The sequence below is a fragment of the Homo sapiens genome, chromosome 8, assembly GCF_000001405.40.
Source record: "Homo sapiens chromosome 8, GRCh38.p14 Primary Assembly".
In the NCBI taxonomy this organism is placed as follows: domain Eukaryota; kingdom Metazoa; phylum Chordata; class Mammalia; order Primates; family Hominidae; genus Homo; species Homo sapiens.
The window spans coordinates 274,637-296,791 of record NC_000008.11 but is presented as its reverse complement, the minus strand read 5'-3'; the positions used below and the strand labels follow the sequence as shown (position 1 = coordinate 296,791).

Below are 22,155 nucleotides of genomic sequence, written 5' to 3'. Positions count from 1 at the left end.
TTTGGTTCTCCTGCCCACCTTCTCTGACTCTGCCCAACACCCACGGGCCAGAGGCCCTTTTCCTTCTTGGCACTTCTCGGTGGTGTAGCAGGATGAGCCACGGACAAAACCCCTCAGGCGCCGGGTTAAGGAATGATTTGGTTTTATTCGGCCAGGAGCTTCAGCGGACTCAAGTCTCAAGAACCGAACTCTCTGAAGACAGAGCTCCTGGCCCTTTTAAGGGTTTGCAACTCTAAGGGGTTCCACGTGAAAGGGTCGTGATAGATTGAGAGCACATGCGTTTAGAGTGGGGTTGGGGGTTAATCTTTTAACCTCAGGCCTGATCATCAGGGGCACCAGCTGGTCTTGCCACTGACTTCATTCCTGTTGTTTTTCAACTTTTACTTCCTGCTCCTCTTCAGACAGGAGACAGTAAGAGAAATGGCCTGTCTCCTCAGCGGCACAATGGACTTTAGACATCGCGCCTGTTTTGTACTCTCCAAGCCGGACTTCTCTACTCGCTGGCCTGGCGCTGATGCCCAGAGGCCCCCTGTGCTTGTGGTCGTGGCCTTAGACAGTTCCCTGCCCTTTGTAAGTACTAACTTAACTCTTGAATGTGGACGTTTTAAGCTGACTTTTCTTCTCAGCCCTCTGTAAGAGTTTCTAATCTCCCCATAGCAATCAATGTAATTGTTTTCACCCAGGGTGCTGGTCCTGGCTGCTTCGATTTTAAAGTAATCTCTCATTTTGCTGAGGAGAATTTATTAGAGTAAATGACTGTTTTCACCTGTCATGTCACATTAAAATGTGGAGAGAACTGGTTGTAGGGGCAGTCAAACTGGCTGTGAGACCCTTCGAGCAGCCATGCATCTCCTGGACAGCTCGAACACTGATCAGGGAGGAGATACTGAAAATAAGAAATAAGAATTGCCTTTATATGTGTGTATGAGTATAGACACATACATCATGTACATGTATGTATGTGCATATGTGTGCATGTGAAGATGGATAGATGATAGATACATAGGTGATTTATGTATAGGTAGATGACAGATATTGGTAATTAATTGATAGATAGTAGATAGGTTGATAGTATATAGATGATTGATAGATGGTTGATAGATCATTGATAGATGATAGGTAGATAGTAGATAGAGGATAGATAGATAATGATAGATGATAGGTAGATAGTAGATAGATGTGATAGGTAGATGGTAGATAGAGATGATGATAGTTGGATGATGGATGGATGGATGATAGGTGATTGATAGATGGTAGATAGGTGGATGGTAGATAGAGATGGTAGATAAATAGATGGATGATGGATGGATGATAGATAGCTGATAGTAGATAAGGTAGATAGTAGATAGATGGATGGATGATAGATGATTGATAGAGAGATAGAGAGAGAGAGAAGGATGATAGACTGAGCATCATAACTTCACTGAATGCTACCAGTTGGATTCAAAAGTCAGCAAACTGAAACGTCGAATTTCAGCCAGCTATCAGAAATATTGTAATCTGACAACAAAAGATAAACAAGGGGACATGGAAATGGCAGCTCTTCCAGAAGCTGCACCTCTCAGCATGGGCACAGAGCCGCAGAAGTGGAGCCAGAGTCCTCTCCACATCTCCTCTGGGTCGGCGTTATCATTGTCACAATGGCTGGAGGCCGGACCTTGTGAAGGCAAAGGCATACGATGCTTTCTTGCTTCTGCTGTTTGGTGACTCCCTTACTCATTCCCTCTGCGGTGGCTGAGGGGCTGATGATCAGTTCCTCTGCCCAGAATGCCCTGACCATGCTGGGTGTCTGTCCTCCCTAGACCTGGGTCTGCAGGATGACAAGGACCCTGCAGCAGAAACTCCTCTGTCTCTTCCCTGAGCACCGTCTTCCATGCTGCCTGACTATGGTGCTGGTTCCCCTCTGATATGGAGATTCGTGGAGAATGACCAGGGTATTTTATGTGGCAATGGGGGTTGAAGCCCAGTTCAAAATGGCTTAGTATAAGTAACCAAAAGTCCCAGTGTGAGCATCAGGCATGGCTGGATCCAGGTGCTCAGCACCATCTGGACGTTTGTCTCCATCTTTGACTCTGCTGTCTCTGTGTTGGCTTCATTTCTAAGATGGTTTTCTCTGCACAGCTGTAACAAAGCTCAGGGCTTGCATGATGCTTTGCAGCCAGTACATCAGAGAGGACTTTCCCTCAAGACTTCTGGCAAAAGTTGGGGTAACTTGCTGTTCTTGCTGGGGTCAGGAGCCGTCTTGCACCAATCTCAGAGGCCAGGGGATGGAGAACTCTCCTAGGGTAGTCCCAGGTTCTGTGCCTCCCCTGAAAACACAAGGTCGGAGCCTCCCCATCCAAATTAATGCTCAGACTGTCAGGGAGGAATGACTTCCAAAGAAAAACCAAGGGCCCTTATGAAGAAAAGGAAGGGGTGCACCTACAGTTGCCACTTCTGTTTGGAAGTGAGGGAGGGGAGGGCAGATTCCCTTGGCTTGTTCCCTAGGACAGCTGTACTTAGGTTTTACTACACAGTCCCCTGAAAATGCTTCTCTCATTAGTGTTGTGCCTCTCTCATGCCTCTTTCCTTGGATAAAGAGCAACCACATTACGAGCCACACTTGGTGCTGGTGCTGTGGCATGCAACACTACCTAATGCGAGAGAAAGATGTGAGCAAATATCTGGAATATACAAATATAATACAAAAATACAAATATAATCAGTTATACAGCAAACAGCTGTGGGAACAGCAGCTCTGCTTGCAGGGTTGGGTAGTGGAAGGTTGAGTTGATAGCATTTGGATTGGGCTTTGAAGTATGACTAGGAGCTTACCAGATAGAGAAGTGGTGTTTGGACATTGTATGAGAAGGAAACACAATCTGAGAAGGTGTACCATCCTAAGTGAATCTGTCACAGAAGCGAGAAGATGCTGTGTAAACCGGAATAATGCTTGTGAGCATGGATCTTGATCCCTTCGTGAGCAATAAATGATTTTGTGAATAAATTGAAAAATGCTAAATTAGATCATAGGATGTGTTTGCAGGGGTGGGGAGAGAGGAGAGCGTCGAAACTGGGGAAGTGGGGAACCAGAGATGGCAAAGCCTGGGACTTCCAGCTTCACCCACAGGACGCGAGGAGCCTCATCAGTATCACCCGCACAAGCAAGCTCCCATGAAGGCAGCGGTGTCCAGGCTCTGTCGCGTCCTTTCTTTGCAGCCTGGGCCTTGGTTTCTTGCAGGTGCTATGCCCAAAGGTTAGATTGACAGATGTGGCCGTGTCTATCAGGGAACATGGACTGAGGTCGGTGCTTTCAAGCACACTCACTTTTCACTGTGTTCAGAGGGGGTGGGAAACCTCCCCTAAGGAGGAGATATGACGTGTGCAGATTGAGAGCTGGGGCCACACGGATTCCTCCAGGGGCAAGGGCTGGTGACCTTGCAGTAACTTCCAGAGGCCTCAGCACCCTCCTCTGCACAATGGTGTTGGGCTAGCCAGGGCACCACAGAAAGGGTCAGCAAGGCACACCCTCGTCTATTGCCCAGGCACACATGGGCATCCATGACAGCCATGCACGTGTTAGAGCCTGACCAGAGCTGCAGCCTCCTTTGGCTGAGGTTGGAAAAGCGGAGATGTGTTCACAGTTGGAGAATTGGTATGCCTTAGCCAAGTGACATCCCTGTCCTTGGAAACTTATTCTGGGGTCACAGAATTAATTCCCCAGGATTGGGTGTCACGAGGAGGTGGTTCCTGTGGCTGAAAACCACCAACACCTCCTTTCCTGGAACATTTCCCTCCTGGCATAGGGCAGTTCTCATGCCAGAACATCTTGGGCCACAAAGAACCTTTAGGACTGAGTATGTCCTTCTGTTTGCTTTAAGCTTTTAAGAAAAAGAATATGCAGAGGCTGACTGAGGCAAAAATACAGGCTATTTCTGACGTTCATTCAGAATGCCACCTACCTAGGCCAGTTATTGGACTGTATGCCAGCCTCTTTCTGCGGGATGTAATCTCAATGTCTTTAAGTTCAGTCAGTCCTATAAATTGCTATCCCTATTCACGCAGTGTGTTTTCCCCTGTGTGAGGCATTTGTGAGTTCCATTAGCACTGATGGGACTTTTAAATGCAGAAGCAGCAGTGAAGGGAAGGGCATTTCCCAGCTGTAGGGCACGGGCCTTCTTTGAGATAAAAACCCACCCTGGCATCGATGACATGGGACCTATTCTGTGTCTTTTCACCCGAGAGCTCTTCAATCAACTGATGATCGCACCTGCATAACTGCTACCAGACCTGCTAAGGGGGAGCCTGGCCCAGCCATCTCTTCTTTGTGGTCACAAGCATGAATGGCCCTGGGACATCCTCTTTCCTCACTGTCCCCTCACAGCATTTCCTGACCACTGTGGCCTTGGTCCCACCACCCACCTGTGTGGCTCATCTGGCCATGCACCTCTCCAGCTCACAACTCTGTTTTCTCCCTGTTGTTTCTATGAAACCAGGTTCCAGCCCCGCCACACAGTCTGCACGGCCTCCACCACAGCTCTGGTGAGCCTCTTGGCCAGCTCCTGGTGACAGCGTGCACCTCCCTGCTCTGAGAAGGTCTCCCTCTCCTCTCTGCCCACCCTGTACAGAGACATCTTTCAAGACCATCCCAGAGGAGAGTGGCCTCTCTCCTCCACCCCAAGAGGATGGCCTCTCCTGTGGCTGTCACTCATCTGACCCCTACCACAGACCTGAGGGCAAGTGGTGCTCACGGGCCCACATCTGCCAGCCTGCGCCTGGTTGGAGACGCCTCCCTCTCATTTGTCCTTGCTTGCTGCGTGACTTTGGCAAGTGCTTGCCTCTTTGAGACCCTCAGTTTTCACACCTGAGAAGTAGAAAGGCGGTGCCTGCCCCAGCTGCCCCGCAGAAGAGTTTAGGTGGCATGTGAGAAAATGCCTTATGAACTACGATGTGAGCAACTGCAGCATGCTGTGAACACCGCTTTCATGAGCTCCTCGGGGGCAGGGTAACACCCAAGTATTCTTACACCTCCCACCGGGCTTGTCACGACCGTATGCAAATGAAGGCCATCAAGCGTGTTTGATCAGTGATGTATTTCTTTATTTTTAGTTTTAGGATATGACAACTCTATTTTTAGCAGCTACAGCGGCCAAAACTTTGTTACCTCTCAGCAGTTGTGTGTTCTTCGAGAGTAGGTTTTGTGCTTTCAAAATATCTGAATCCTCTACCATTTACAGGTGTTCTGTACATATTTGGTGTATGAGTTGCTCAGGAAGGAAGAAAAATGTGCCCTGTTTATCTTTTAAAAAGATGGCTTGGCTTGGTACTCCTTTGCCTGCATTCCTTCTCTGTATTTAGAAACGAACCCACACAAGTGAAGGTAAACGAAGTCTCTTGAAAGATAAGGCAGGAAAAATGAGGATAGAAAACAAAATCCCTTTAGAGAGTTTACTTGGAGGCTACCACTGGCATCGCTGCTCTGCAGTCTATCAGCCAGAGGCCCCTGGTGCTGCAGCACGGCCTTGGCAGCTTCACCAACAGGAATGTGTTCTCCTAGGGTACTGGCGGGTGGCAGTCCCAGAGCAAGGTGTGGCAGGGCTGGTCCTCCTGAGGCCTCTCCCTGGCTTGCAGACGACATCTTCTCCCATGTTCTCATGTGGTCCTCCCTCTGCACACGCATATCTGACATCCTCCCATGTCCTCACACGTTCCTCTCTCTGCACTCGAAGCCCGGACATCCTCCTATGTCCTCACATGGTCCTCCCCCTGCACTCACATCCCTGACGTCCTCCCGTGCCCTCACGTGGTCCTCCCTCTGCACTCACATCCCTGACGTCCTCCCGAGCCCTCACGTGGTCCTCCCTCCGCACTCACATCCCTGACGTCCTCCCATGCCCTCACGTGGTCTTCCCCCTGCACTTGCATCCATGACGTCCTCCCATGCCCTCACGTGGTCCTCTCTCTACACTCACATCCCTGACATCCTCATGTGCCCTCACGTGGTCCTCTCTCTGCACTCACATCCTGACGTCCTCCTGTGCCCTCACGTGGTCCTCTCTCTACACTCACATCCCTGACATCCTCATGTGCCCTCACGTGGTCCTCTCTCTGCACTCACATCCCTGACATCCTCCTATGTCCTCACGTGGTCCTCCCCCTGCATTTGTATCCCTGATGTCCTCCCGTGCTCTCACGTAGTCCTCCCTCTACACGCACATCCATGATGTCCTCCCGAGCCCTCACGTGGTCTTCCCTCTACACGCGCATCCCTGACGTCCTCCCAAGCCCTCACGTGGTCCTCCCTCTACACGCGCATCCCTGACATCCCTTCGCCTTCTCCTGGGGACATCACTCCCATTGGCTCAGGACCCTCCCTTGTGGTCTCACCTAACCTTCATCACCTGTTTGAAGACCCCATTTCCAAAGACAGCCACATTAAGGGTTAGGGCTTCAACATAGGGCTTTGGCAGGACACAATTCAGCTGATTGCAGAGTCCAAATATCTCAGGCTTCTAAACATGAGTATGACATTGTGGACCTCTATCAGCAGAGACACTTTCGAGAGAATCTGGCTGAACTGTGGTGTCCACATGTCGATATTCTATTAGGTTCACAACAGGGAGTCCTCCATTTCAGAAGGATACGAGCCTTTCTGATGTTGACGTGTGGCTGGCCATCTGCTCTGGGGGTGGCAAGGCCGCTCTGCATGGGTGCCCATCCTCTTGTGGATGTCCTAGGAGTGCTTGTGTGCACCTGTGTGTGTGTTTGTGTGCACGTGTGTGTGTGCACACATGAGTGGGATGGGGACCCTGGGGACAAGAGTCAGAAAAGGAAAGGAAGAGGGAAGAAGGAGGGATTAGTATTAGCCCTCGTTATCATTACCATGGATACACCCTAATTACAGCAACTGCTGATTCAGAGCCGTGTGCCTTGAATGCCAATCTCTAGAGGAAAATAATGGAGACTCTGAAAGAGGGAGGAGAAATGAGGACAGAACTTCAGAGGGGGCAAGATGTATAATACACAGACGTTAACGCCCATTTGGTCGATTCAAGTAATTGTAGAAATGAACTCATTTTCATTCTTGTGTCATTATCTTAGGTATCCTGAAAACAATGTGCTTTCATTTTCTCATTTAAATTTGCACTTGTCTTTCTCAGGTTTTTGTGTCTGTTTCTGCTGTAAAACTTAAAATATATCCTAAATTACCTGGTCCTCCTCTTATTTTCCATTTTTCCTGCTATTTTATTGGCTTCAAAGTTTCTCTCACACTGAACTATATTCTCCTTTGTTTAGCACTAGATGAAAAAGCATACTATTAAGGCTTTGGCCTTGCATTCTCTTTTTAATACCTCTGGCTCTAACGTTAGGGCTTTAGTGCTCCAACCTCTGTTGTACGCACTTGAGGGAAATATGTCTCCGTGTCTGCACATCATGTGGTGGTTTCTCCTCCTGAGAAGAGGACGCTGTCGGGTGCCACATGCAGGAATCTCAAGTGTTTGAGGACAGGAGACGAGACTCATGTGTGGTGCCTTTTAGACTTCCAAGTCGGTGCTCACTCTCAGACATGAAGCTGCCCTCCTTTTGGTCTTCTAGGTACCATCAACTGGGGATAAAACACAAATACACAGACTAGAAATTCCTTGGAAGTTGAGCTTTAATTTCTCTCTAGAGTTCTTTTTTCACAAGCCACCCTTTCAGAACTTGGAGCCAAATGGCTGTGATTGCAGTGCAGTTTGAGGCCAAGAGTGTGTCCAGCTACAGAAATCTGAACTCCGCCACTGGGGTTCCTGTTCACAGGGAGGTACAACAGCTGCCTGTGCCACTCCTCCTCCTGCCCCCTCTCGGGACACAGGGAATTGAAGACAGAGCACCTGCCCCATCAGATTGGGTCTGCATGCCCCAAGAGCAAACAACACTTTCCTCCAGATGACTCTTGGATGCAGTTTCGCAGCTGACTTGAATTCAAGCTTTGAGCTAGCACAGTGCCAGGCATCGCAGGGTGGGCAGTGGACAAGGCACAGAATTTGCCATCCAGGAGTTTGTACCAAACCCAAGAAGCAAAGGCCCATGTGAGAAATAGTGTAGAATAACACAGTGTTTATAAAACCAGAAGTGTAGCTCATACAACAGTGCTCTAACTCAAACTAGAATAAGCCAGAACGTGTGAAGAGAGGCTTAGAAAAAGGTGACAGTGATGAAAACAACAGCCAGCATTTACTCACTGTCGCGTATGACTAGGTATTCCATATTCATTAATGAGATCTTTTCATAACTCAGAGTTATCAACCCATCAATATGCAAATATGCTACTCTCCATCCAAAACCAAAGCAAACAAACATCAGCCAACCAAACAAAAAGCAACAGAAAATCTGACTTTCCTCTCTGGTGCTCATGCACCCACCTCCAGATGCCACCTCCAGATACCAGCCCGTTCTTCTCCTCTGTTACCATAAACCCCCAAGAGAGCTGCCCGTCCTCCTTTCTCCATTTAGCCACTTCTCACTCTCTCTGTTGCCTCCAACTCTAGGGTTCAAGAGGAACTGCTCTTAACAAAGTTTCCATTAATGTCCATTTTGAAAAATCCAACCAAAAACCTCACTCTTCACCTTCTTTGTCCTCTCAACAGTGTTTGGACATTTTTTTTTTTTTTTTTTTTTTTTGAGACAGGGTCTTGCTCTAAAACCGAGGCTGAAGTTCAATGGTGTGATCATAGCTCACTGCAGCCTCAACCTCCCCGGCTCAAGCGATCCTCCCATCTCAGCCTTCTGAGTAGTTGGGACTACAGGCATGCACCCCATTGCCTGGCTTTTTTTTTTTTTTTGTAGAGACGAAGTGTCACTTGGACACTTTTGCTAACCTTTTAGAAACCAACATTTGAAATATCTTTCTGTGAACAGTTTTTTCACTTGGCTTCCAAGGCACCACCTTTCTGACTTTCCTTCTGTCTCCTTGCCACACAGCTGGACCCTTCTCTCCCGGACTGTACATTTTGGAAAGCTCCAGCTTACGGAGCTGCCTTTCCTCCCTCCCTAGGCCATGTCACGCCATCCCAGGAGTCATGATGCCGGTGGATTCACAGATTTATATACTCAGCCCTGTTCTCTGGGCTCACATATCCAACTTCTTGTAGGACATCTCCACTTGGAAGTCTGGTTCAAATCAGAACTTTTGACTTCTCTCCCTGCTCTGTCCCTCACTGTAGAAAGTGACACCACATTTATCGGGCTGCTCACGGCCCAGACTTAGGAACTTTCTTTAAACCTACACCTCCTGACATCTGGTGAGCCTTGATGCCTCTAAACTCAACACAGATTCCAAACTGGACAGGTTGTCGGTCGCCTCATTGCTACACTGGGCCCAGGCATCATTGTCCCTTCCATAGGAGCTTGGCAGCCCCATGCCACCAGGCCTCCTGCTGTCTCCCCTCCTCCACTCTCCACACTGCAGCCTGAGCCTGAGAAAGGTAAATACCGTCATAGCATTCCCTTGCTCAAAACCCAGCAATGAAATCCTGTCACCCTCAGAATCAAGCCCCTGCCCCTAACAGTGGCCCACAGCCCTGCATGGCCTGGCCTCCTGGGTGAGCTCTGCCTTCCTCTCTGCCATCCCTAGCAGCTGAGACCATGTCCAGCATGGAGCAGGCACCAGGGGCATGTCGTCTCTTATATTATGTCCACTCCACTGTCGGGGCAGGTTGAAGCTTGAAGAGCTGAAGTAATGTAAGTGCTTCCACAGTTCTCGTGAGTGGCTGAATTTGAGCCCAGGTCATCTGATTCGAAGGCAGCATAGATGTGCCGCCTGCCTCACGCAGGGCCCCTTTGCAGTGGCTGGGAAACCTGGGCATCTCTTAACTGTTGGAGAAGAAGAGGCTGGCATTCACGTGCAGGGAACTATCAACAGATGTGAAGAGGAAAGAGGCAAAAATGCTCAGTGGAATTAAGAGAAGATGAGCTTTACAGGAGCAGAGCTGGAACACAGTGTGCCGAGCACGGAGCCTGAGGAGCAGAAGGCATCTGTTGGGGGCTACAGGACCGGGACACACCCCAGAGCCCTGGGAAGCTGTGGAAGGCCTGCGGCCAGGGAGCGGCGAGGTGCTCCAAGCTCACCGTTTATTCCATCAACAGGCACACCAGGGGTTTCCACAGAAATAACGGGTCTGCTCTATAAAGTCTGTGGAAAAAGAAAAAAGCTACGTGTTTTTGTGTCTATTGGCAAGGAAATATACTTCATCTCACATTTTAAATTGAAATGTGTGGCACTTAACTTCTTTCTCTTAAAAAACATTCTGTTTTCAAATCAGTAAACATCCTATAACAAGCAATAAGAAATTCTTACTGACTTAACGTTCAATCTGTTTGGATCATTAGGCTTCAGATTACACGACATCCCAAATCCTTCCAACCCAGCATCTGACATGAGAATTGAAGCACAGTACGGAACCAGTTTGAATGAATTTGGAACCGTATTTTCTTTGCTGTGTGTGTGTGTGTGTATTATATATATATGATATATACATTTTATATATTTCTACTTCTTGAGCGATAATATTTTAACAAAGGGGCACATTTTACTCTAGACTCCAATTTCTTTACGAAGAGACTGGAGAATGCCCTCTTTTCCCTGTGGTTTTCATAACCATATTCTGCCTTTAACCTAAAGGAGCCTCTCACAATTGGCCAAAGCTAGAATACTTGGAGCTCGCTGTGTTGTGTCTTCCGTGGAAACTTCTCCTTGCGAATTATCAATGTTTCAGAGGTGACATCACTTTCCATATGAATAGATATGTGTTACATCTTCAATTTACCAGAAAAGTTTAGCTGAAAATCTTCTTTTTTCCTTTAAGAATGTTGGAAACTGAATTGAAATTCATAAAGATGACAGATAAGCATATGAAAAAGATGCTCCACATGATATGTTACCAGGGAAATGCAAATTAAAATGTCAGCCAGACACCACCACGCCCCTATTAGAGGGGCCAGAATCCAGACCCTGACAGCACCAAACCTGGCGAGGATGTGGAGCAGCAGGAACTCTCATCCATTCCAGAGTGGGAATGCAAAACAGCGCAGCCACTTTGGAAGACAGTTTGGCAGTTTCTTATAAAACTAGACATTTTACCACAAAATCCAGCAATCATGCTCCCTGGTATTTACCCAAATAAACTGAAAACATATGTCCATGCAAAAACCTGCACACAGATGTTTACAGCAGCTTTATTCATAACTGCCAAAACTTGGAAACAACCAAGATGCCCTTCAGTAGGAGAACGGATAAACGGTGGCACATCAGACAATGGAATATTATTCACGGCTAAACAGAAATGAGCTGTCAAGCTGTGAAAAGACATGAAGGAAGCTTAAATGCATGTTCTTAAGTGAAAGAAGTCAACCTAAAAAGGGTACATACTTGTATGATTCCAACGATACGACATTCTGGAACAGGCAAAATTACGGTAACGGTAAAAGCACCGGTGGTTGTCAGGGGTTAGCTGGGAGGGAGGGATGAACGGTTGGCACACGGAGGATTTTTAGGGCAGTGAAACCACCCTGCATGGTGCTGTCATGGTGGATATACATCATTAGACTTGTTCAAACCTATAGAAATAACAACATCCAGAGTGAACCCTAATGTAAACTGTGGACTCTTGGTGACAAGGATGTTCACTCAGCTTCATTGACTATCACAAATGCAACGCTCTGTGGGGGACGTTGACTGTGGGGAGGCCGTGTGAGGGGAGGGGATAATGGGAACTTTCCGTACTTTCCACTTAATGTTACTGTTCTAAAAACTAAAGTCTATTTAAAAGAAAAAAATTCCATTAAAAAAGTTATTGATTTATGACAACTGTGCTTTCTTGATCGCTACCAGATATTTCTCCTAAAAGGCAACTGAAAAATACGTTAAAGCTGGAAAATCTCTCCAGGACAGCACTTCAGTGAACCATTTAGTGAACGAAATGCCCCTGGACACAGACAGCTCTGCAGAGGATTCCACGTGCCCCGCGGAATCCTGTTGGCTGTTCCTTGCAGGGCTGGATGTGTCTGCCCTGTACCTGAGGCCCTGCTGCGTCGGCCCGTGGGGAACAGCACAGGTCCCAGCCAGCACCGGGCGTCTTCACCTCTGGGGTTCTCTCCGGGTTTGTCTAAAGTCCTGGTGGCTCTTCTCTATCTGAGGCAGCGTTTGGTATGTGCCTCGCCAACATGAGCTGTTCTTGAGTGCAGCTTTGGGACGTCATCTAGCATGCACTGTGGCCTCGGCCCCTGGCACAGAGTTTAGGGGTAAAATTCAGATCCCAAGAAAGGACTGGAAGAAGCAGCCCAGACAGAAGGATGAGGGGTGCAGCTACCGGCCAGCATCACTGAAGATATCCCTATGGGAGTGTTACAAGTTGAGTTCTGAGTGCGACGTTATTTAAAAGTTTCCAACACCAAGGGAAAGAAAGACAGATGACCTTACAGCTGATGACACGGAAGCTCTGAGACATCAAAGGTCACACTCAGCTGGTGTCAGAGGCAGACCCCGGAGGGGCTGGGGGGAACAAGCAGGAGATGGCAGGTCCAGACCGACCCCTGGGCCTGGGTGGCCTGGAGGGACCTGGGTGCTCTTCAGGGACCCCCCTCTTTTCATGAGACTGGTGTGCTAGGGGTGTCCTGGGTTAACAAACTGTGAGGGCACTGGGAACTCTGGGATTAGGGCCAGCTTCCCACAGTCATTACCTAGCGGGGCAGCTGCGGGGTCTTCCCTAGCTCCTCCCACTGAGGGTTGGTCTGAGCCCATCCACCACGGCTGCTGCTGCTGCCTGGAATTCACCTTGGGGGTGCGTTCTTTTTTTCTTTTCTTTCTTTTTTTGCTTTCTTTCTTTATTTTTGTCATAAGCTTCAGCCTTTTTTAAGACCACTTTATTGGGACATGATTGGCATATAAAAATTTGTACTGGTTAGTCCTGTTGCTACTTCTCAAAGCCACTGTCTTCTCACATGGAAAAGTTTTACGAAATCAGCTGCCTCACTGTATAAATGCATGCCCCAACCCCATGCCACCTGTATAAAGAACGCTGGGACCGCACTGCCTTTCAATTGCTGCTGCAGATCCAGCTTTCAGCACTTTCCTGCTCTGTGGTTCTGCAGAAGACATGATCGAGGTCCCTGATGGCAGAGAGTTGACCAGAACAGAGGAACGCAGGAGGCAGATGAGTCCTGGGAGAAAGTGGTCAGTTGCCAAACTGATTAGAAATTTGCTCTTACGTTAAGTGTGACCCAAGAATGGAGATTCACAGGGCAATCTCTGCAGACCACTTTCCACTGTGAAGTCTGAGATGAAATGAAGATTACTGGACAAAGAAAATTGGAAAATGCCCGATACGCAGCCCGTTTGGAAGGTGCAGAGTTTGGAGATCCCTAGAAACTGGACGATGAGAAGCATGGCTCCTCAGGCAAGGCGCTTCCCCTGCAGCTGCAGTGGGCCTGGCTGCCTGTTTGCTCAGGAGACTGCAGTGACCTCACACCCCACCTCAACACCAGTGTGACCCCACCCAGACCCCCACAGCCTCAGACTCGGAGTGGGGGTTGCAGGGAGGTGTTGGGGCAACAGGGAAGAGGACACATGGCCTGCGCTTGAACGTGGAGTGTGGACTCTGTAACGTGGAGTGTGGACTCTGTAACGTGGAGTGTGGACTCTAACGTGGAGCGTGGACTCTGTAACGTGGAGTGTGGATTCTGTAACGTGGAGTGTGGAATCTGTAACGTGGAGTGTGGACTCTGTAACGTGGAGTGTGGATTCTGTAACGTGGAGTGTGGACTCTGTAACGTGGAGTGTGGACTCTAACGTGGAGTGTGGACTCTGTAACGTGGAGCGTGGATTCTGTAACGTGGAGTGTGGATTCTGTAACATGGAGTGTGGACTCTGTAACGTGGAGTGTGGACTCTGTAACGTGGAGTGTGGATTCTGTAACGTGGAGCGTGGACTCTGTAACGTGGAGTGTGGACTCTAACGTGGAGTGTGGACTCTGTAACGTGGAGTGTGGATTCTGTAACGTGGAGTGTGGATTCTTTAACGTGGAGTGTGGACTCTAACGTGGAGTGTGGACTCTAACGTGGAGTGTGGACTCTGTAATGTGGAGTGTGGACTCTGTAACGTGGAGTGTGGATTCTGTAACGTGGAGTGTGGATTCTGTAATGTGGAGTGTGGACTCTGTAACGTGGAGTGTGGACTCTAACGTGGAGTGTGGACTCTGTAACGTGGAGTGTGGATTCTGTAACGTGGAGTGTGGACTCTGTAACGTGGAGTGTGGACTCTAACGTGGAGTGTGGACTCTAACGTGGAGTGTGGACTCTGTAACGTGGAGTGTGGACTCTAACGTGGAGTGTGGACTCTGTAACGTGGAGTGTGGACTCTGTAACGTGGAGTGTGGACTCTAACGTGGAGTGTGGACTCTAACGTGGAGTGTGGAATCTGTAACGTGGAGTGTGGACTCTGTAACGTGGAGTGTGGACTCTGTAACGTGGAGTGTGGATTCTGTAACGTGGAGTGTGGACTCTGTAACGTGGAGTGTGGACTCTAACGTGGAGTGTGGACTCTGTAACGTGGAGTGTGGTTTCTGTAACGTGGAGTGTGGACTCTGTAACGTGGAGTGTGGACTCTGACGTGGAGTGTGGACTCTGTAACGTGGAGTGTGGACTCTGTAACGTGGAGTGTGGATTCTGTAACGTGGAGTGTGGATTCTGCAACGTGGAGCGTCTCCAATAAGGCCCTTTCCAGCACAAACAGCAAGGCTGGGACAGCTTGTTCTTGTGCCTAACAGAGAACCTTCTGTCTGAAGACTGGAGAAAGAGCTCCAGTGAGATTTCCTGTGAGGTGTTGGTTCACGTGATCGTGAAAGCTGCAATGTCCCACAGCCTGTCATCTGCAAGGCAGAGATCCGGGAAAGCCAGTGGCTTCGTTCAAAGGCCAAAGAGCCAGAAAGCCAAGGGCAAGAGAAGACTGGCGTTCCAGCCCCACCATCAGGCAGAGAGGGAATTCAACCTTCCTCCACCTTTTGCTCTATTCAGGCCTGCAGAGGATTGGATGAGGCCAGCCCATGATCTTCACTCAGTCCACTGATTCAAATGCTCATCTCTTCCAGAAACACCCTCACAGACACACCCAGAAATCATGTTTTAACGGCTATCTGGGCATCTCATGGCCCAGTTAAGTTGACACATAAAATTAACCCTCACATGAGAACACACCTTCAAATTCAGGTTGTTTTTGAATGCCTGAGTATGGTGTTCTAAAAAGCATGTGCATATGAGGTATTAGAATGAATACATGCTTATTTAAATTCCACAATAGAACATGTAAATTAGTATTTTATTTGTCTTAAATATATCTTTAATATAAATATGCCTGTTACATAAAAGTTCCATCATTTCATAGAATTTTGTGGTCTCAATTCAGTCCAACCTAATTTAACTATAAAAATTTTTTTGAAAACTTAAGTTACAGGGAAGGAAAACTAAGACAAATGCAGCCATGACTTGCAACGAGTTTACAAATCAGTATAGGAAGAAACACATGTGCACAGAAGGCCGTGATACGGACAATGCTTGTCAGAGTATTCTGAGGGAGATCTTTCCAAAATAGCTCTGATTATGAATGTCCAAGGTCTCTGCATTGTCTGCAGGAGAAGACCGAACCCCCGTACGGCCTCCTACAGAGACATTCACATCAGAATCCATTTTCCTTCTCCGTCTTCTTTCTTCTCCTCATCTACAGTCAGGACCCTTTAGGTTTTAGCCACACCCAGCTGCTCACAGATCTCTCAAAAATCATGTTCTCCCATTTGTCCTTGTGTGTTTAACAGGATTGCTTTACCCTAGAATTCTTGTCTTCTTTTCTACACTGAGCATGCATCAAAACTTATTTCAGCATTACCCACTTCCCCAGGCAGGGTTTGTCTTTTCCTCTCTGGCACTTCCTAGCCGCATTGTGTGTAACTGTTATAGATTTTCAATATAAAATTACAATGATTCATTTATTCACCTGCTTTCCTTGGCTGAGGAATCCTCGGGCCAGGGCCACTCTACTGACGCTGCAGCTCACTGAGGAGCCTGGGTGCACCCTGAAGATGCAAGGCTGGGGAGTGGGGGTGAGTGCATGGCTGAAAGGGCCTCAGGAGCAACCTTGTTCCTCCTTCTTATGCTGTTCATCATGATGGTGTTCAGAAACCTTTCGTCTTGGCTTCACCTGTCAGAACAGTGCCCTAATCTTGTTCGTTTTTCCTAGAATACTGGTGCACAGAATAATGGCCCCAAAGGTCCCTAATGGCCCCCTACATCCTAATCCCCAGGATCTGTGAATACGCTATCTCACTTGGAAAATGGGCTTTGCAGATATGACTAAGTTAAGGATCTTGAGATGGAGATTATCGGGTTATCTGGGTTTGTCACACGGGTCCATACAGGAGGAGGCAGGAGAAAGGTGTGGGGAGGCAAGCAGAAGTCACAGTTGGTCACTGAAGGTGCTGCCCTGTGGGCCTTGAGGATGGAGGAAGGGCACGAGCCCAGAAAGACGGGCCCCTCTGGAAGCTGGAAAAGGCTGGGAACAGATTTTCCCCCAGAGCCTCCAGAGGAACGCAGTGCTGCTCACACCTTGATTTCAGGACTTTTGGCCTCCAGAACTGTAAGAACACTAAATTGTTTAAACTATGAGTGTGTAGCGACTTTTTACAGCAGCTGCAGGAACTAACCCAGCACCCATGTCTTGCCTCTTCTGAGCTGCTCTCCAGCGTCCCTGCTCTCAGGGTTCCATGGCCGATACCATGCACAGCACTCCTGTGAGGGAGGAGGCATAGTGAACATACTTGCTTTGTGGTTAGAAGAGTTATTTCATAATGTTAGTGGCAAAATAATATCAAAAGTACAGTACAGTCAAGAACTTTTGGAGAAGACGAGATTTCTGGAGAGTTCTGGGTACCAGAAAGTCACACCGAATTTGAGTTGGAGGAATGACTATATTGGACACAATTTACGACGATGTATTATTTTCCTTTGAATGCATGAGAATCTATACTTCGCAGAGTTTTGTAGAGCTAAACATAACATGCATCTGATCTTTTCTACAATTAACCCTGTTCTGAGTTTCCTCAGAGAATTAAAAGCACATTTAAGAGGAATTCTGGGAAGGTGGTAGCAATGTTCTGTTGCTTGCGCATTTCCCCAGATTCTCCCAGAAACATACACAGACTAGATTTTATAGCAAAACTAAGGACCCATTGAAATACCTTCAACAGAACCTGGGACAAAGTACCCTCATGAACCCCACATATGGCAGGGCAGAGACAAACAGTACGGCTCAAAGCTCTGTGTCGAAGAAAGCTGGGAAGGGAAGTATGCTTCTGATGGCCCCACAAACAGAAGCACCTCAAGATGCCAAAAGGAATTCACGGGGAAGTGAGGTATGAGCACAGGGTCTGGCCCAGGAGCTCCTGAAGGACATAATTTGTAGCTTTGCCAAAGGGAGCATGAATGGAATAGGATCCCAGTCACGGAGCCATCTGCTTCCTACAAACTCCTGTACTGAGCACATCCCTGCCCTGCAGAAAAACTGCCAGGAACACACTCAGATCCAAGTCGAGCAGGAGCAGGACAAGCACAACACAGCAAAGGAAGGAAACACCACGCCAGACTGGGGAGCGGGGGAAGGCTGGTTTCTGAACGCACAAGGCCAAGTTGTCCCTGTGGAAACAGCAGAAACTCCGGAGCTGTGGCACTCAGGAAGCTATCCCAGCCTCCTGCCCTGTCTTGCACGCTCAGGAAAGCAGATAACAACCACGGGAAAATCTACACGAGCATTTTCAAATCCCCCCCCACGATAAAAGCAAGTCAGGAAAATATAGATTTTCCTGAATATTAAAAAGAAATCACTATGTTAACAACTATAACAATAATGATGAAAGCAAACAAGTTAAAAAAAACAAACAAACGTTAAGTTAGACCACCTGGAGGCAAGGTGGGCACTTACATGGTGGGTAGTTTAAGTGAGTATTTTACTTTCGCATCATTGAGAATCAAAATTTTTGATATGATTGAAAGGCAATCGTTGTGCAATCGACGAGGTTAACTCGAAACACTGTATTCCTGAATTTGAATCACCCAGTATGAAATGACTAGCTCTAGCTAGAAAAAAAACTAAAAACAGGCATGAAGTCCAGATCAGTGAACACCTCGTGAGTAGACTGTGGTCACTCATGGCCTCTCTCAGCAAATGACCTGTGGCTTCTGGAGAAATGCGTGGTTCCAGGCCTGAACCAAGCGTGTCCCAGCTGTGCCTGCAACAGCACACCACACCTGAAGGAACAGACTTATCAGAGACCGCCGAACTTACCTCCAAAGGCTCAACCCAAATAAGCCCCCATTGGCCAATGCTGCAAGAGTGTGAGCATCAGTAAGGAAAATAAGCACTGTACTGAAACACGTCAACTGTTTAATTTATGAGTTAATGGTGATACTAAAACAAAGTAAAACAAAAAGCCCAAAATATGGACTTGACCTCAAGGTAAACAACTAGTCAATTAGGAATTTTTTCTTTAATAAAAATTTGGAATTGAAATATCATCATTTCATAGCTCCTAATAAATTGGTAAATCTAGGCAATAGTCTTCAGTGGCTGCTGACACCATAGGGAGAGGCCGCCAGACACCATGTGCTGCTGGTGGACCTTGCTTGCCCCGTGCAAGGAGCTCAGTAACAGCCACTCTTGCCACATGTGCAGATACAACATAGGGCTTCATGTGCAAAACCTGTCACAGAGAAGTGATGGATGCTCACTCCTACACAGCATGGGCTGGATGCAGGAGTTTCGGGTGCACCATGGTTGGGAGAGGCACTGGCTGTCGGGCTGGTCTGCGTGAACACCCTTGTAGGGCAGAGCCAGCCCTGCCCATGTCATGTAACATCTTTGTGGGTGAGCCTCAGAGGTGGGAACATTGAGTTTCTCTGCATCATGAGTGATCTGTCCAAGGAGTTCCGGGCCAGGAGCCTGGAGAGGGAACAGACATCTAGAGGAGGGTTTGCTCACCACCACCTGGGCTCCTTTCTCACCATCCTGTGGGCTGCAAGTCTGAGACGAACGAAGATGCCAACAGGCTGGGTTCTGGTGGTGCTGGGTTCATAGATGGCCCTTCTGCCTGTGTCCTCACCAGGAGGACAGAGGGCTGTGGTCTCCTCCTCTTCTTTTGACAGCCATCCCGTTATGGGACCTCATCTAACCCTAGAGACCTCCCAGAGGCCCCACCTCCTAATACCATCCCACTGGGGGTTAGGGCTTCAACATAGAAATTTGCAGGGGAGAAACAAACATTTGGTCCATGACAGGGCCCGGGACAGCTGTGCCCACCTGGGATGCCAACATTACCCAAAGACCCTGAGGTTCCCGAGGGCAGCCGAGTCCAGCTGAGCTTGCTCACTGCTGAGCTCCCAAAAGGAGGAAAGGAGCCGCCACATCCACATGCATCTTCCATCATTTGGCAAGAAATAAAACTAGAAAGTGGGCCTGACACTGGTCAAACCTCTAGATCCAAGTACAGGAGATGGCGAAATGTGTTAAATGGCTCATGGGAATGCTGTGGGAAATTAGATGATTCTGTATCTTGGACAAAAAAGGAGAGGAAGGGTCAACTCTTAGGTTATAAGAAATGCAAGAAACACACCAATTAATCATGGATGAGACCCTCTGATTCAAACCAAAACACTCTAAGTATAATTGGGAGGCATTTGAGGAAACGAGAATGTGGATGTTTTGTTTCTCTGTTGCTGTGTAACATGCCACCCTAAAACCAGTGCCCTAAAATAACATCCATTCTATTTGCTTGCAATTCTGTGAGCCAGGGACTTGTACATTTTATTCTGTCTTTTGTACTATTGGTAAATTTCCATAATAAAAATAAAAAGCAAAATAAAGAAGTACAAAGCCACACATACATACACACATCCGGAAAGGAACAGGAATGGACCCCATCCTACAGGAGTATGAGTGCTGCAGAATCCTTAGCATTCTCACTTGTAGACCAGAACTGGATGTGCATCCTGTGACACTGGGTGTGTGTGCCACTCTGCAGCATCAAAAGCATTCCAAATTGTACCAAAACCCTCACCAAAGAGGCTGTCTTCCTGACTCAACCCTACCCAGAAGATGAGCTGCCAGAGGTATGTGCATTTTCTGCAAGCTCTATCACACCCAGTGCGCTTTATCTATTTTGATTTTAAATATGGAAGAGCCCAAGAGTCCATTTCAGCAAAATGCTCCTGGTGAGAGGGCAGCTATTCACCCCTTGGGGGCAGTGGCTTGTGGCTTCCCGAGGGCATCTGGAGTCCGTCACACAGTAACCATACACAGAGCTAACGGCTCCTGCAGCTGTGTGAGCAATGCTGCTGGCTCTAGGCCCAGCGGCCTCTTCCCTGTCATGCTTCTTCCCGTCTGTTCTGTGCCCATTCTCTGACCCACTCCACTCCTCTCTCCACAGTCAGTGAAGATCAGAGAGTCTGACCTTTGCTCCAGCTAAGGACTAAATCCCTGGGGGAATTTTGCAGCAAAGGTGCAGGTGGGGTTACCCACATCCTCCTCCAGGCATCACTGAAACCAGGTTTGCTTCTGGCCTAGGCTGTCCCATGCTGACAGAAGCATCCAGGGAGCTAGGAAAGCTCTGTTCATGGGTGTTCCTCCTACAGGCGTTGGAATCTGACTCCCCCACTTCCCCTCTCCTTCCCCTAGCCCCAGTATCCAGTCTCAAAGCAGTCCTGTTGATTCTTCTGCCAAAGTCATCTCTCAACTGAACCAGGCCAACACCTTCTGACTGGCCTCTCACTCTCCTCTCTACAAAGGAAATGAGCCCTTAAGGAGGGAGATCGAGGCCAGTCACATCCACATTGAAAAGATGAAAAGAAGCCAAACCCTTCCCTGCAGCTTCCAGTCCTCATCGCTCCCTGGCTCTCAGGGCAGCCTCTCAGGGCTTCTTTCTGAACTTCGAGTGGGGGGCGAGCACACTCCCTCCTGTGTCTCCTTGCTTTTTGCTCTGCCTCACCCCGACCTTCCCATTTTCCCAGCCTCCCCATGACTCTAATGGGCTGGAAGGAGGAGCTCCTGAAGGATGCACTGTGTGTCACAGGCCCATCGCTCCATGAGCTTTTCTGGTCTATATAGTCACCAAGTCAACATTTGTGGTCTTTCTTGCCACTCATATAATTTTTCCTGAAAGCCAGGCCCTTGCCTGTCTCGTGTGCCACATGTCTGAGAGCCCTGGGCCCATGTGGCCAAGGTTAGTGTTCCATAAGCATTTGCTGAATGATCCCAAATCTGACATGGCCCGATTCTGCCGCGGGTGTCTCAGTGGAGCAGGGTTCATGAGTTCCTCTCCTATGTGAGAGTTTGGCAGACTTTGTGAAGGGAGGAAGAGGCTGCAGAGCCTTCCTGGACAGAGGAATGACTCCTGCAGTGTGGGTTTTACGCATGTGCAGGCCGCAAGAACAGGCACTGGGAGGCGGGCAGGCCTCCCTGCAAGCCTCTGCCCCACAGGGGGCACCCAGTCGATGACATAATGAGAGCCCCAGTAGTGAGGGGGCAGAAATGGGTTCGGGCTGTGGGGTCCAGAAGCTGTGTTAAGTCAGGGGCATAGAATGAGGCACACTATCACTTTGAGGAACAGACACCCCACATTTTCACGGGCCACCCGTGGGCAGCCTCCGCCACCAAGATTCATGACCCATGGAACAGCATGTTATCCCTGCTTCTCCTGACCTCTCCGTGAAAGACCAGCTCTCCTGGGTCCTGGGGCAACTGGACCCCAAGGGTACCTCCCTGGGGAATGGATTTATTTTTTACCAGCAGGAATGTAGTGGCTCCCCAGGTTCAGCTGCTGAAGCGATCAAGCATTCCTTCTATGGAAAAACCAAGCCCCAAGAAGTGGCTTTTAGCCCCTGTAGTCATTCCAAACTAAATTTTTAAAGGTGCTCATTGGAAAGAAAAAAAAAGTGCTCATTCATTTAGGTGGATGCTATGTGCTTTAAAATAAGAGCTGGCTGCGTCTCCCAGGAGAAAGTAACTCGCCTCAGTGAGCTCCAGCTCTTGGGTGTGGCGACCGCAGGGCAGCTCCATGCTGAGATCAGCTGCGTTCCAGGTTCGGACTGGGACCTGGAGGC

The 22,155-nt window shown here is 48.4% G+C and overlaps 2 annotated features.

Moving 5' to 3' along the window:
• Positions 5,040-5,159: an enhancer, noted in NCBI's record as "active region_26941". NCBI's record gives its function as "activates an Ori minimal core promoter by ATAC-STARR-seq in GM12878 lymphoblastoid cells {active_cell/tissue: GM12878}" and the evidence as "EXISTENCE:reporter gene assay evidence [ECO:0000049][PMID:35858748]".
• Positions 20,412-20,501: an enhancer, noted in NCBI's record as "active region_26940". NCBI's record gives its function as "activates an Ori minimal core promoter by ATAC-STARR-seq in GM12878 lymphoblastoid cells {active_cell/tissue: GM12878}" and the evidence as "EXISTENCE:reporter gene assay evidence [ECO:0000049][PMID:35858748]".